This window comes from Homo sapiens, chromosome 18 (assembly GCF_000001405.40).
Source record: "Homo sapiens chromosome 18, GRCh38.p14 Primary Assembly".
Classification (NCBI taxonomy): Eukaryota; Metazoa; Chordata; class Mammalia; order Primates; family Hominidae; genus Homo; species Homo sapiens.
The window spans coordinates 49,827,331-49,843,221 of NC_000018.10; the positions used below are offsets into that span (position 1 = coordinate 49,827,331).

The 15,891-nt window shown below is 41.2% G+C and overlaps 1 protein-coding gene and 1 long non-coding RNA gene across 2 annotated transcripts in view; one reads left to right on the plus strand and one right to left on the minus strand.

The window, feature by feature from the left end:
* Positions 1 to 15,891, plus strand: part of SNHG22 (small nucleolar RNA host gene 22) — a 37,037-nt gene that overhangs the window by 13,308 nt on the left and 7,838 nt on the right. The window contains exons 2-3 of the long non-coding RNA NR_117096.1: positions 11,946 to 12,034; positions 13,033 to 13,095. This is a non-coding gene — a long non-coding RNA (small nucleolar RNA host gene 22). The remainder of the gene's footprint in view (positions 1 to 11,945; positions 12,035 to 13,032; positions 13,096 to 15,891) is intronic.
* The window catches only part of MYO5B (myosin VB), a 372,359-nt gene that overhangs the window by 4,542 nt on the left and 351,926 nt on the right, over positions 1 to 15,891 (minus strand). Inside the window, exons 35-39 of the mRNA NM_001080467.3 lie at positions 14,035 to 14,124; positions 11,814 to 11,964; positions 10,187 to 10,472; positions 9,381 to 9,555; positions 8,014 to 8,094 (exon numbers count right to left, since the gene is read on the minus strand). Of these exons, the coding sequence (NP_001073936.1) occupies positions 8,014 to 8,094; positions 9,381 to 9,555; positions 10,187 to 10,472; positions 11,814 to 11,964; positions 14,035 to 14,124 (783 nt within the window). The remainder of the gene's footprint in view (positions 1 to 8,013; positions 8,095 to 9,380; positions 9,556 to 10,186; positions 10,473 to 11,813; positions 11,965 to 14,034; positions 14,125 to 15,891) is intronic.

The following is a 15,891-nucleotide window of genomic DNA, read 5'->3' on the forward strand; positions in this document are numbered from 1 at the left end:
AGGCAGTGGGACCTTGTCCTCCAAAAATTTGGGGTTGTGCCCTTTGATCTGGTGGGTCCCAGCAGATGCCTGTCTTGGTTTAGACATTCCTTGGGATGCAATGGCTTCCACTAGTGGCATCAACTGGAAAATTTAAAGGCACAGAGCCCCTCCCTGCTTCCTATTTGAAGCCAGAAATTTTAGGAAAAGTACAAAAACTGAAATGAAAAATTCACTAGAGAAGTTTAACCGCAGACTTGAGCAGGCAGAAGAAAATCAGTGAATTTGAAGATAAAGCAATTGAAATGATCCAGTCTGAGAAGAAAATAAAAATAATGAGGTAAAAATGAACAGAGCCTAACAGACCTATTGGACACCATCAAGTATACCAACATACACATTACAGGAGTACCAGAAGGAAAAGAGCAAGAAGGGGGCAACAAAATATTTGAAGAAATAATGCCAGAAACTTCCCAAATCTGATGAAAGACATGTATGTAATCATCCAAAAAGTTCAATGAACTCCAAGCAGGATAAAGGCAAAGAGATTCACAGTGAAACACATTATACTAAATTGTCAAAACCCTAAGACAAAGAGGGAGTCTTGAAGGCAGTGAGAAAGAAGTGACTTGTCACATACAGTCATCCCTCAGTATCCATGGGGGATTGGTTCCAGGAATTCCCACAGATACCCAGATCCATGGATATGCAAGTACTGCTGTCGGCCCTGTAGAACCTATAGATAGAAAAAGTTGTCCCTCCATAACTACAGGTTCTGCATCCTGTGAATACTGAATTTTGAATCTGTGGTTGGCTGAATCTGCAGATATGGAACCTGTGGATATGGAGGGCTGACTGTATAAGGTATCCTCAAATAAGATTAACAGCTGTTTTTCATCAGAAACCATGGAGGCTAGGAGGCAGTGGGATGACACAGCTCAAATCCTGAAAGGAAAAAATCTTGTCTGCTAAGAATTCTAAATCTGGCAAAACTACCCTTCAAGAATGAAGGAGAAATTAAGTCATTTCCAGAGACAAAGAAGGACATTATATTTTAATAAAAGGTTCAACTCATCAAGAAGATATAATAAACATCTGCATCTAGCAACAGAACCCCAAAATATTTGAAGGGAGAATTGACAGACTTTAAGGGAGGATAGTTCTACAGTAATGGTTGGACATTTCAATACCCCATTTTTAATCATGGATAGAACCAGATAGAAGATCAATAAGAAAATAGAGGCCATGAACAACACTATAAACCAATTAGTCCTAACAAACACATATGGAACACCCCACTTAGCAGCATACACATTCTTCTCAATGCATATGGAACAGTCTCCAATATTCAAACAAGTCTGAATAAATTTAAAAATATTAAAGCCATATGAAATATTTTTTCTGATTAGGATGGAATGAAACTATAAATCAATAAATGAAAGCTGCAAAATCCACAAATATATGGAAAATAATAAGTTCTCAAATAGCCAATGGGCTAAAGAAATCACAGGGGGAATTAGGCAATAAAAATATAATAAACCAAAGCTTATGGGATGGGATAAACATAGTGCTAAAAAGTTTGTAGCTGTAAATGTCTACATTAAAAAAAAAAATCTCAAATCAATAACCTAACTGTATACCTTAAGGAATCAGAAAAAGAGCAAACTAAACCTAAACCTAGAAGAAATGAAATAACATAAATTAGATGGAAAAAATAGAGAACAGATCAATACCCAAAACAAATGAAATCAAAGTTGGTTCAAAAAATTGACAATTTTTTTTTTTTTTTTAAGATGGGGTCTTGCTCTGTCACCCAGGCTGGAGTGCAGTGGTGTGATCTCTGCTCACAATCTCCGCCTCCCAGGTTCAAGTGATTCTCCTGCCTCAGCCCCCCAAGTAGCTGGGATTACAGGTGTGTGGGAAGACTAAAATGAGAAATTAGCAAATCAGAAATGAAAGTGAGGACATTACTGCCAATTTTACAGAAATAAAAAGGATTATAAGAGAATACTATGAAAAATTTAACACCAACAAATTGGATAACCTAGATGAAATGGACAAAATCCCAGGAACACACAAACTACCAAAACTGATTTAAGAAGAAATAGAAAATTTGAATAGACCTATAACAAGTAAGCATATTGAATTAGTAATTAAATATTTCCCAACAAAGGAAAGCCCAAGATGGGCTTCACTGGTGAAGACTATCAAACATTTAAAGAAGAATTAACACCAGTTCTCAAACTCTTCCTAAAAATCAAAGAGGAAGGCACACTTTAACTCATTCTATGAGGCCAGTATAACCCTAATATCAAAGCCAGATAAAGACCCTGTAAGAAAACAAAACTATATTCATCCCTTATAAATACAGATGTAAAAGCCCTCAAGAAAATACTAGCAAACTGAATTCAGTAAAAGGTTAAAAGGATTATACACCATGACCAAGCAAGATTTACCTTCAGAAAGCAAGGTTAGTTCAACATAAAAATCAATCAATGTAATATACCACATTAACAGAATGAAGAGGAAAAAACCCACATCATCTCAATCGATGGAGAAAAGCATTTGCCAAAATCCAACTTTTTTAATGATAAAAAGATAAATCCCTCCATGATGAAGACCATATGTAAAAACCCCACATTTAACATCACAAATATCACACTCAGAAAGTTTTTCCTCTAAGATCAAGAATAAGATAAGGATGCCTGTTCTTACCACTTCTATTCAGTATAGTTCTAGCCAGGGCAATTATACAAGAAAAGAGATAAGAGGCAGCCAATTTAAAATGATCCTCTTGCAGACAACATATCTTACATGTAGAAAAACTGAAAGAATCCACACACACACACACACACACACACAAATATTGCTAGAGCTAATGAATTCAGCGAAGTACATAATAAAAAAAAACACATAAAAATCAGTTGTATTTCTATTCACTAGTAATGAATAATCAGAAAGAAAAACAATTCCATTTACAATAACATCAAAAAGAATAAAATACTTAGGAATAAATCTAGCCAAGAAGGTGCAACACTTCTGAAAAAGTCAAGACCTAAACAAATGGAAAGACACCCCATGTTCATGTACTAGAAGACTTAAGATGACAATACTACATAAGCAATCTACAGATTCAGTGCAATCCCTATCAAAATCCCAATGACGTTTTTTGCAGAAATCTAAAAAAATCCTAAAATTCATATCAAACTTCAAGGGATCTTGACTAGCCAAAGCAATCCTGAAAAATAACAAAATTGGCCAGGTGCAATGGCTCATGCCTGCAATCCCAGCACTTTGGGAAGCTGAGGTGGGCAGATCACCTGAGGTTGGGAGTTTGAGACCAACCTGGCAAACATGGTGAAGCCCCTTCCCTACTAAAAACGCAAAAATTAGCCAGGCATGGTGGTGCATGCCTATATTCCCTGAGGCAGGAGAATTGCTTGAACCTGGGAGGCGGAGGTTGCAGTGAGCCAAGATTGCACTACTGCGCTCCATGGGTGATAGAGTGAGACTCTGTCTCAAAAAAAAAAAAAAAAAAAAAAAGGAAAACAAAATTGGAGGACTCACACTTCCCATTTGAAAACTTTTTACAAAGCTATGGGAATCAAAACAGTATGGTACTGGTATACGGACAGACATACAGACCAATAGAATATAAGGGCCCAGAAAAAAAAAAAACCCTCATATTTTTGGTCAATTGATTTTTGACAAGGGTGCCAAGTCCATTCAATGAGGGAAAGGGCAGTGTCTTTGACAAATGGTGCTGAGACAACTGGATATCCACATACAGAAGAATGAAGTGGGACATTCACCTTATACCATATACAAAAATTAACTCTGAATGGATCAAAAACTTAAAGGGAGCTAAATCTGCAAAGCTCTTAGAAAACATAGGGGAAAGTATTTATGGTTCTTAAAAATGACATCAAGAGCATAGGAAACAAAAAAATATACATAGATTGGACATCCTCAAAATTTAAAACTCCTGCATCAAAGGACACTATCAAGAAAGTGAAAAGACAACCCACAGAATGGGAGAAAATACTTGCAAATCATATCTGATAAGGATTTAATATCCAGATTATACAAATAACTCCTACAACTCAATATCAAAAAGACAATAATCTAATTTAAAAATGAATTAAATACTGGAATAGATATTTCTCCAGAGAAGATATATACATGGCCAATAGGCACACGAAAAGATGCTAGTCATCAGAGAGATACAAATCCAAACCACAATGAGATGCCACTTCACACCCATTAAGATGGCTATAATTTTAAAAAGCTGGAAAATCACAAGTGTTGGTGAGGATGTGGGGAAACTGGAACTCTCATGCATTGCTGGTGGGAATGTAAAATGGTATAGCTGCTGTGGAAAAGTTTCAGATTCCTCAAAAAGTTAAATATAGAGTTACCATATGACCCAGTAATTCTGCCTCTAAATATATGCCCCAAAGAACTGAAAAATTGATCTCAGCTCCTTGTGCAACAATGTTCATAGCGGCATGATTCCCAATAGCCAAAAGGTAGAAACAGTGCAGTTTCCATCAACCAATGAATAGACAGAATGGGATATATAAAGGGAATATTAGTCACTAAAAAAATGAAGTTTTTATGCATGCTACAACATGGATGACCTTTGAGAACCTAAGTGAAATAAGCCAGACCCGAAAGAATATCGTATGAGCCAACTTATATGTGATATCTAGAATTTACATATAGAAGCCTACCCAGGGTTGAAGGGAAGGGAGAATATTATTTGCCCAAATGGGTAGTGTTTCTGTTTAGGATGATGAAAGAATTTTGGAAATAGTGGTGATGGTTATGTAATATTGTGAATATACTTAATGCCACGGAACTATACACTTAAAAATGGTTAAAATGGAACACACATACCCCAAAACCATGGGATGGAGAAGAGTACCCTTCTGATAAGGTTGTGAGGATTTGAAGAGTTAACAGGTGTAAAGAACACAGAGTACCATCACTGGCACATAGTAAGTGCTGTATTTGCTGTTATCAGTTTTATAATATGCTCCTTTGTTCCTCCTGCCCATGCATTAACCATTGACCTCTGAACCATGAACTGCTGGTAGAAGCTGTACTTTTACAAAAGTCAATAGGGTTAACTGTGGGAGTATTGCCAAAAAGGAAAATCAATATATCCTGATTTTGTGAAAACACAATTTATTTTTCTTAAACCTCGAAACAGGCCATAGTCAGTAAATACATAGCAGCATTTGAAAATCGCTGGGAAATAGGTTTACAGAATGAAGTCAGCTGGAGCATGGCACTGTAAGATGGCTCTATAGTGGCAGGGGAACCTAGAATTGCCCACGTTTTCATCCATTACCTGAATTATGAATAGAAAGCATGACTTAAATTTCCAGTACCCGTGTGTTTGGCATCTTGAAAGATGGGCCAAAATTTTAAAGTAATTTTAATCATTTGAAAAAGTGGTTTGAAATAATGGGAGAGAAGTTTAAAGGAGAGAAAGGTATTTAGGGAGGAATAAGCAACTAGCCTCACTAATTCAAGGTACTCAATGATGGCTCTGGTGTGGCCTGGCAGAATGATTCTCTGGGATTGTTGACAGCTCACACACAGCCCACTCTGAGGTTTGCTGCGTTTATTATCATGAACCTATCACAAGGCATATGTATGTAAAATGTGAAATGGCAGGAGGCTCTGGGAAAAAAAGTCATCTTTGTAGCACTTAAGGGCCCTTGTATTTCTCCACATTAGTTAGATGTGACAGTAGACTTCACTACCTAAAGGGTTTGAAGAAATTTTAGAGAGTATAAAAATGGGAAAAGAAAGTGAAATATTACCTATATTATCACAATTCAACAGCAAAAGGCATGTATACTTTTAATCAATTAAAGTATATAAGGTGGTCATTTCACAGAAATCCTCCTGTGAATGCTTTGGTGAGTTTAACAACTTCAAATTTACATTTTTAAAGGTCAGTACAAAGCTATAAAAAGCCCAGAGCGCCCAAGCAATGGTTTGCTTTAACAAGTAACTTGTCTTTATCACACATGTGAGTTCAAATGTAGGAGGGCAGGACTGATTGTTCACCATTTCTTCTGAGCATTGTATAGGTAGAAACAACATAAAGCTATAGCTCATGAAAAAAATATTTTGCTAGAACTGCGAGACACTGAAATTGATTACTGAGGAAGATTCAGAATCTGACTGTACATATTTTGAGAGAATAGTTGGGCTTAACCTCCATTATATTTTCCCTTTGTCCTTGATCCATTAAACCTGCAGTATGATGTGGCATATATTTTTTAACCTGAATTCTCATAAACAGTGGGGTTGCCAATTTATGAGCAGTTATAGTTCTCCCTCTAATGTGTGTCTCAGATATTCGAAACTAAACAAGACTTTCTAAACTTGCACTTTTGTATAAATTATCAGCCCTCCATAAAAATCCATATAATGGGTCCAGGTTCAGATATCTCAGTGGCTTCTGTCATCAAACTCTTCCCATTCAGCAGCTGACTATGAGCATCCTAACTGGATCCTTTCTGTCAGCGCCACCCACAACCCCATTGTTGTATACATGTTGGTGAGTAGAGAGACTCACTCTGCCTGCCCCATTCTGCGGCCTGTGTCTTTAACAATCGACTGTGTTTCTGTCATTGCCCTTAGGAGAACAACCTTTAGTCTGACTAGGCACCACTTCCCAGACGTTCCCTCTGTTGGCCTCTGTTCCCTACTTAGATGCTGGGCTAAAGTTCATTTAGGCTTTTTTTTTGCCATGGCTCTTTTCAAACCCCTTTTTAGCTCTTTTCAGGGCTCTCTAAATCTCTGGATCTACATTGAAACACTGTAAGGAGCTCCAAATAAAATCCCAGGAGTATTCCAAAGGGAACAGGTTCTTGTACAAAGCTCCATGTTTCCTCACGTTTCTTCAGTGTCTTTGATAAACCTCCATTTGGTTCCCTTTTTCCTGACTCTCCCTCTGATGACTTCCCCCTGAACCCCTTTTTAATCCTTGTTTTGTGTCAATATCCCTTCACTGGCCAACAAGGTCATTTAAAAGTTTGAGGGAGTGCTATGTCTCCCCTGAGGTGCTCCCCACAGGTAATCATGGGAGAAGTGTGGCCTGTTTTCTGAATCACTGCGACATGACTATCATTCCAACACTGTCACAGTTACTATCACATGCAAAGGTCAGGCGCTCAGCCATCACCTTGGGCTCAGCTTAAGGAAGCTCATGTTTAAGTAAAACATTCCCATCATCTTAGGAAAAGACAGATTTAAATAACCGTTTTCCCTAATACATTTTCTTTCAAGCATTTTCCTAAAAGCAAATATTGTCTTTTTTTTTTGAGACAAGAGTCTCACTCTGTCGCCCAGGCTGGAGTTCAGTGGCGCAATCTCGGCTCACTGCAAGCTCCGCCTCCCAGGTTCACGCCATTCTCCTGCCTCAGCCTCCCGAGTAGCTGGGACTACAGGCGCCCACCACCACGCCCGGCTAATTTTTTGTATTTTTAGTAGAGACCGGGTTTCACCGTGTTAGCCAGGATGGTCTTGATCTCCTGACCTCGTGATCCACCCACCTCGGCCTCCCAAAGTGCTGGGATTACAGGAGTGAGCCACCGCACCTGGCCTATATTATAAGTCTTAGACAAAGATTTAAGAGCTCAAATTGCTTTCTTTAAAGAACATTTCTTAGTTCCATTTATGGTTAGGGCTGATATTCTGCTGACATTGTTAATTCCATTTGGTGCTAATAGTTCAGTAACATGCTAGTGGCAAATGACATAATGCTTAAACTATGTCTATAATCTGAGAGGCAGAGATGATAAAAGTTGAGTTTTCTGTGTGTAAACAGTAAGTTACTCATGGGTGATACGGTTCATGTTTACCTAAGTAGAAAGTCTAGGAATGTAAGGTCTCCCAGCATATATGTAACCAGTATTTTAGTAATAAAGAGAAGCAAGATTAAAGCCCAAATTTTTAATTTCCTTTATAGTCGTAGACTGGACTTTATAAAATTACTATCTTAAAACTCACCTGGATTGTTCGTATAAAGGCCACTGTTACCCGTTCTTCAAATTCATTCAGGGGAGTATAAAGGTTTAAAATTTTGACAATCTGTTGGGGATAAAAACGGAATTTAGCACAGAGCTAAATGAACATGAGACAACTTTTGAACTTTAAAGAATATGTGACATTGGTACAAGAGTATGATCCTCTTTAGACAAGGCCCACAACACAGATGGAGCTGGACTGACATTTACACTTGGAGCCTGCATCCAGGAAACTAGAGCCCACAGCTTTGTCAGGTGGATCTGAGCCCTCTCACCGAACTCATGTCTCCTGTAAACCCACCTGCCCCTCCCCACTATGCTCATTGGTATACACAATGAGGAGTTTAGAATGCAGTTGCCTGAAATCCTCAGCCTCATATCTACTAGTAATTTAAAGGTTTCTTCTGAAGAGTACTGGAGATCTTACCTTAGATGAGAAAGGTCTTGTTTAATACCTAACTACCCCCTGTCCCCCAACATTGTTTACAAATGAGTATTTGAACAGGAGATACTCTTTTGTCTGCCTACCACTGGTTTGGTGGAAGTAGACTGCCCAAATGCAATGCCAGCTGCATCTAGAAGGAAACTTACTTTAAGTGAAATGTATTTAAAGAGAAGAAAAATGTTTGAAGACTTTCTGGAAATGTTTACAGAAGGAAGCAGTTTTTTAAAGAGTTAGATATTTAATATTTTAATAGTAAGCAGAGGAGGTAAGGAAAGGTGTTCACTTTGCTATATTAAGATGTGTTTTTCTGTACTGAGTTTGGATTTTGTTATTTATCTTTCAGGGACTGGCAATGTGTCGGCAACTGAATCATGGTTATACATTTTTTAGGGAAAAGGAAAGTAACACTTAAATGCCCCTAAGTTCTTAATGACTTCATTTAAAACAATATAAATGAGTGTGAGTGAAAATATGACCATATTGCAATTAGTTTTAAAGAAAAGGTTTTTCTTACAGTTATATTTGTAAAGAAAGCAAATACCTGATGCTGCCAATTTCTGAAAATTTGTGGATTTCTATGTAAGAAACATTCCAGAATTCATTATATTTAAAGAAGTTTTTACCTAAACTTAACGTTTTGTGAGTTTGCTACCTTATCTTTTTAAGTGAGTAAGAGGGATAGAGAGTTACTAGAAAACAGTATCTGTGGCATCTTGTTTCACAGACCAAATGGTTTTTGGTTCATCTAGGAATATCCCATCAGCTGCACTTCAAAATTGTCTCATTAGGGGTATATAAAGGGTGGGAGTGCAACACTAACAAATAACCACCAACGAGAACAGACTTGGAATGGACTCAGGGCTTCCTTGGAATACCATGTTGACAGAGGTGCAAAGTGACTGTACCTGCTGGGTGCTGAGGGAGGTACACAGGGAGCAGATAGCCTCTGCGTCCTCCTGGGTTTTCTTCTTTAATTGCAGGAGCTGGGCTGCTTGGATCAGAGGTTCCATGGTCTGAACTGCTCCACTCTGGTGAAGGTTTCTTCCCCGAAGCCACTCCTCAAGCTGACTTATATTGTACCTTAGCCATAGGTAGAAAGCAAGCTATGTTAAGCCGGTCCTCCTAATTCACTGAGAAGGGGACACCTGTTGTGTTTTGCAGGCCCGCTGCAGCTAGTGCCATTATTTATCTCACACGGTTAAAAAGCATGGCAAGTGCCTTGCACTCAGGAACTATTTGTTGAATAAAGAATGAATAAATGAATGAGTGGGTACTTAAAATCAAGCAAAGATGAAATACCTGAAGTGTCTACATAAGTTAACAGGGAAAAACAGGCATTAAATATACTGAATTGTAAGTATTTATATTTAACATTCACAAATGTATTTATACTTCTATGTGAGCCTTCATGCCTCTTAACTCATTGAGTTTTCTCTCTGACCTATCTGCTTTGTATTCAGTCTTTAACTTAGAGTATGTCAACATCTTTAAGCTTTGAACTAATTTGTTTACCAAGTCAACCATCTCAGTGTTCGACGGATTTCACCAACAGGTAAAAAGGTGATGGATTTGAGTCACAGACTGATGGAGACAAGGACTGTCAATTAGATTTGGATTTCATTTTTAGAAACAGCAGTCTTGTGTTCTGATTCTAGCTGCAGTCAGTGAGGGCCCACTCTATCTGTGTTGTTGGGGGGTGCTCCTCCCTTACCTGAGTTGCATGCCTGTGCTCCAAGAGCAGACGTCCTTCCGCAAGAGCAGGTTGTTAAGAGTCACTGCGTTGATCATGTAGAAGAGCTGTTTGAATACCTGCAGGATGATCTCAGGGTCCAAGCCCTGGTCACACATGACTGTATGAAAGGCATTCATCTGGCGGATGATAGCTTCCAGGCAGTATGAGTTATCCCCATCTGCCATGCTGGAGGAGCGCTTCCGGTAGCCGGTGGGCTTCACACCAGATAGACCCTGAATGCTCTCATTTTCCAACATGGCAGAAACTGAAATAAAAGCACAGTTAGAGAAGCTTGCATTCCCCACTAACAATGCAAAGATTGGACCACTCAAATCATTTAGTGCTCCGGGCTTTAGCAATGATACCATCCAGAGGTGTGCAATGTTGACATGCTTAGGAACTTATAACATTTGGCAAAAAATTTCTAATGTGTTGATTTCTGTATGGAATAAAACAGCTGTGGACAGCATTTTCATTTAATTTACTGGCAATTAGACAAAGATGATGGGCATGTACCAGCTCGATTTGGTATCGCCTGTGCTGAAGTCCACAGTTTGAGAATTGAGCAACCTGGGTGTCATCCTCGTCCAGCCACTGACTATGTAAATAAGAGCTTCATTGGTCCGTCATACTTACTAAGCAGCCATTACCTATGCACCAGGGGCTTTATGTTCAGTATCTCTTTCAATCTTCCAACAACTCTATAAAGTACTACCCATTTTTATGAGGAAGTTGAGGTATAAAGCGGTTAAATAACTTGTCTGAGGTCACACTGATAGGGAGTGGCAGGGCCAGGATTTAAACCCAAGTCTGTCTGACTCCAGAACTGCTGCTATTAACCTTCACATTATTCTGAGTATCTCCAGCTTGATATGTCAGTTCTCCCTCTGTCTGGTGCCTTATAAAAAGATTTCCAGACAGGAAGGAGGGTTTGGAATGAACCTCATTTCAAGTAATGTATTTCTAGATTGGTCCTTCTTGGGATTCACTCATAACCTACTTGTGTTGTAAGAACCTGGGGAAAGCATTATGAATAGGTCCAGGTACACTTTCCTTCCCAGCCTTTGCAGAGCACAGTGAGTAATGCATCTACACATAATTTTTCTTCCGATTGAAAATGTAACTGCTCTCATTTCTCAATTCTGATTTCATGTTCAGTGCCCAAGTACACTGCTTGGTTCAAAGCAAGTGTCTAATAAATACTGATGCATCGTGCCGACTGCTGTGTCCTTTCGCATGAACACTCCTGCTTTTTTCCATGAATCAAGTTCATAATAGGTTAAGAGGGTTATGCTTTTTCACTGTATATGCATTTGTACCTTTTGAGTTTACATTTATTATGTATTAAAATTTGGGAAAAAATACAACATATTACAGAAAAAGAGATAAAGGGAAAGTCATCTATGCCTCTTGCACTGTGTCAAATACTTTCACAGCTTTTTAAGCATGATGTGCACACCTCAGTTCTGCCTTCACTGGAAGGTTCTGGCTTTCTGGAGGTCATGGCTAAGATATCTGGTTCCCGAAAGGCAGAGGGTGCTGACCACGCCTTCCCCTCATTTCAGACACCATGATGAGTGATGTAGCTCTCCTGCTGCCAGCTTACCTATCATCGGCTGTAACACGCCCTCGGCAATTTTAATGAGCTGCTGGTAGATCTGAATGGAAAGGTCACTCAGCACCTGACGGTATTCGGTGAGGTCAAAATTCTTAAGACAGTGTTCATTCTGCTTTGCAGTGTTCTGAGTCATGAAGCCCTGCAGAGGGAGAGGCGTGCACTACTGAGTTCTCTGGTCTGCTGGGCCCAGCACAACTTCCAGGGCTCTGGTAACTTTAGTCATCTATTTGGTGGGCAGGGGGCCTACTCAGGCCCTCCCTATGTAGATGATGTTTTACAAAAGCCTGTCAGTTCTTTGAGGCCTCATTGATGACCCTTGAACTTGAAGGATGTAGAAAAACTCAACATGAGAGAGAAAGCCTGAATCGCTCAGTCCAAATCCCTGAGGCGAAGTGATTTCCCTACGGTAGCAAAACCTAGGTTGGTACCAGGTCCAGAGAAAGGGATCCCTGCTTTTTCCCTTCATCCAGCGCTTTCCTCAATATATCAGGTCCCCCTAAAATGTTAGATGATGTGCAGCCTCTAAAGGAGTGTGGCCATGGGCCAGATTATACGCTTGTATGAGGAGAAATTTTATACAGATTCTATCACTGGTTATCAGAATTAATAGATGAACTAAAGTGATTTCATAGCTACCGCACTGTGTCCTCTTAGCTTTCTGTATTAATCAGATGAAATCACATGTAAGTTAAGGGAACTGCTGATATCAGAAGGGCTCATGTGACCAATGTCCTTTTCATTCAGGCCTAGGGAAACCAGTATCTGCCAAAAAGATTAGTGCTCCCAAAAGGGCAACCATCTTCAGCAAGGCCTGTTGTACTGTGTCAAATACAAAGCCATCTTAATATGAAAAAAAGCAGGCAGAAAAGGGGATAATTGTAATGATGAAGATAGAGTCAATCATTCTTCCTTGTTATTTGGACTACACGGATCTGGTCATGCTGTGGTTCAGCTCTTGACCCAGAGAATATGAGCACATGTAACCACAACCTAATGTAATGGAGTTCTAGGTCCTGCCCTAGCCTTATATAACCTCCCATTTAGAATGTGTATAACATTGGGTAAAGTGATGGACCTCAATGAAATAACATTACATGTAGTTCTATGCTTCAAGTAAATGCTTGGATATTATGATTTTGTAACAGAAGTCATGGGGTTTGAAATGGCTATTTCTTTAACCTTTGGCCCATCTCTTTTATAATAAAAGCAGGCCATCAAATGAAGTGCTGGTTCTTAGGAGAGAGATGGCGTCAAGCCAACTGCAAAGAAGGTAAGACTGAAAGGAAGGGCATATCCTTTTACTAACCCAGGGAGAAGAGTCTGTCAAAATTGGTTCTGGCACAAAAGATGGAATAAAGCTTTAAAAATGGTCGCACTATTTTGGTTTACACTATGTCTTGACCTTGGGAAGGGTGGATGGTGAGATATGTGAAAGGAAGGGGAAGAAAAGTTGGAAGACCTACAGGAACCTGTGAGCGGGCATATCTGGAACAAGCTGGGATTCTCACCAGAGAAACTAGAATGGAAACAAGCCACATATTACTAGGTCATTGGGCAGAGTGCAGAGCATGGGAGAAGTTCTTTCAGGGACCAAAGCTAGGAATGTGAGTTCCAGAAAAAGCTGGGCCTTACAGGTCCGGTGTGGATTGTGAAGTGATGGGGTTAGTAGTTGGGCCTCAGGTCAAGGAATCCAATTTGGATAAATGCATGGAGCTGGGCCTCCAGGTCAGTTTGCACACACGTAGTTCTGATTATGGTGTGCCTCTGTTCTTGTGGCCATCTTTGTCTATCTTGAAATGGACAGATTAATCAGTTGGCTTAGGAGACAGGGTGACCCACTAGGCAACTGAGCTCCCTGCCAGTATCCACTGCAGTGGGGCTTCTAGAGCTGATACAGAAATGTCAGGTTACAAGAGTTTCATGGAGACTCCCAGGGCCTCTATTGATCATGGGTTATGCAGACTCTACTTACATAACCCAGGAGTGCTTTTTGGGGCCCCTTGGGCTCATCAAGGCCTCCTAGAGGCAGGTCTCCTGTGGCTGGCCTTATTGCTGCTTCCAGCCACGAGGCATGATAAGGTGTGCCCACGGTCTGAGGTCCCCAAGGGTGCTCCAAAGACCCCACTGACCTCTGAGGGTATACAAAGCACTTCTCAACCACATTTGGATGAAGCAGGAATGCCTCCTGGGTGCCTGGCTCCCCACTCACCTCATCCCCGCTGTACTGCTTCAGACAGTGAAGAAGGCGGCAGGTGTTGGATAACCAGAATGACGTCATCTCAAAGTCATCATTGTGCTTCTGTGAAAAGAAAAGGACATCCTCAGCTCTAAGTGGCTCCCATCTGGTGAAATGCTTCCTCGGTACCTCTTTCCCCACATTTCCTACCCTTACCTAGTGTTCCTGAGCAGCCCTGAGGCTGGGCAGGGCACTTGCCAGTCACGGGGTTGAGACCCATTGCTGAGAGGCTGTGTGAGTGTTCCTCTACCACCAGGGATGGTGCACAGAACCCCCACCTTGGTCTCCTGATCAGTGGTGCACATACAGGGACACACATAAAGGACAGGCTGCCTTCCATGGCTGAAGAATGAATGCAAAGCTGAGTGACAGATGAGGCTCTGCCCCAACAGCCCCGGGCTCTCGTCTAACCGCCTGGGCTAGCTGGCTCTGTTTCTGAACTGCCAGTTATCCAACACAAGGGATGCTGAAGAGCATAACAGCAAAATAGTTTGGTGTCCCATTTATCTAGATGTCAGATGCATCATGGCTTTAACTCTCTAGAAAATGGCTACAAACCCTAACTAGGTGAAAAAGCCTGCTCAGCAACCCAAACAGCTATGAGACAGCTGCTGCATTAAAGCTGATGACTTCACGCAGCTCATTCTGTCAAGTAAGCGTTATCATTATTTAAATGACAGAGTGGTATGAGGTACGACCAAAAGAAAAAAAAAAAAAAAGAAATGAGGTTGAATAGAAAGTGACTGCTGGGGCTGGGACATGCTATTTTAGCTCAGAATTAGGGAAGGCTTTCCTAAGGAAGTGACATTTGTGTCAGCCCTAAATTGGCCTAGACTGGCCGAAGATTCCAGCTGGATGGTGCTCACGAAAGAGGATCAAGGCTGGAGACACAAATCTGAGAGCCACGAGCATGCAGATATGTTTTAGAGCCGTGAGTGGATAAAATTGCCTGTGGAGGGCAATGCAGCTACTGAGGGCAGGAAACCAGACTTAAAGGCTGGCTCTGGAATTCTGAGCAGCAACCAGCAGCTCAGTGGACTCCAGAATTGGTTTGGACTCAGAGCTTTTGAGAATGGCTTGTATCCTGGAAGCAGTAATGTGTAAGAACTAAAGATGGTCTCTAAGAGCAATAATACTCGGGGCACAGGCCTGCTAGCAGGTAGAAATCCCTCTCACTGAGGGTTCATCTCCCTCAAGAATCTCACCTCCCCCACTGCCTGGCCCTCATCCATGTGTGGACAGGCCTCACCCTCCCTGCAGGCCAGCCTGTTTCTGCAGTGGCTGCACTACATTCAAGAAGAGCCTTGTGCCTTCAGGTGGCATTCCCGAGCACCTTTAACACCATGCGGCAAGCCCTGTCCTGGCCCAGGTTGCCTCACCTTGGGAGGTGATGGAATGTCACAGCCCTCCCTGTGTTACCCCCCAGGGAAGCAAGCACCCGGCCCCTTGGAAAGGTGGAGAGGGCCCATGTTTCAGGGGTGTCCCTGAACTTGCTCCAGGGTGAGGCCCACACACCCTTGGCTGCAGCAGGATGTCTCCCTAGCACCTCTGGCAGTGGGCAGGCCAAGGCTTCTGTAAGCACTGGGCATGTCTGGAGGCTCAGCAGGGAGGAGCTGGAGGGCTACCTACACCAGAGTCCTCGGCTTTCTGCCATTGCTGGGCCTGAGCATCCTTCTCTGGGAACTGCCAGGCATCCTGGTTATATGGATGCTTCTGTGGCTCATTTACCTTCAAAGTTGGAGCCCTAGGAGCATTCACTACAGCCAAACCCAGACACAGAGAAGCAACAGTAAGGGGCTGGCTTCACTCTACCCACCACAAACCATGACC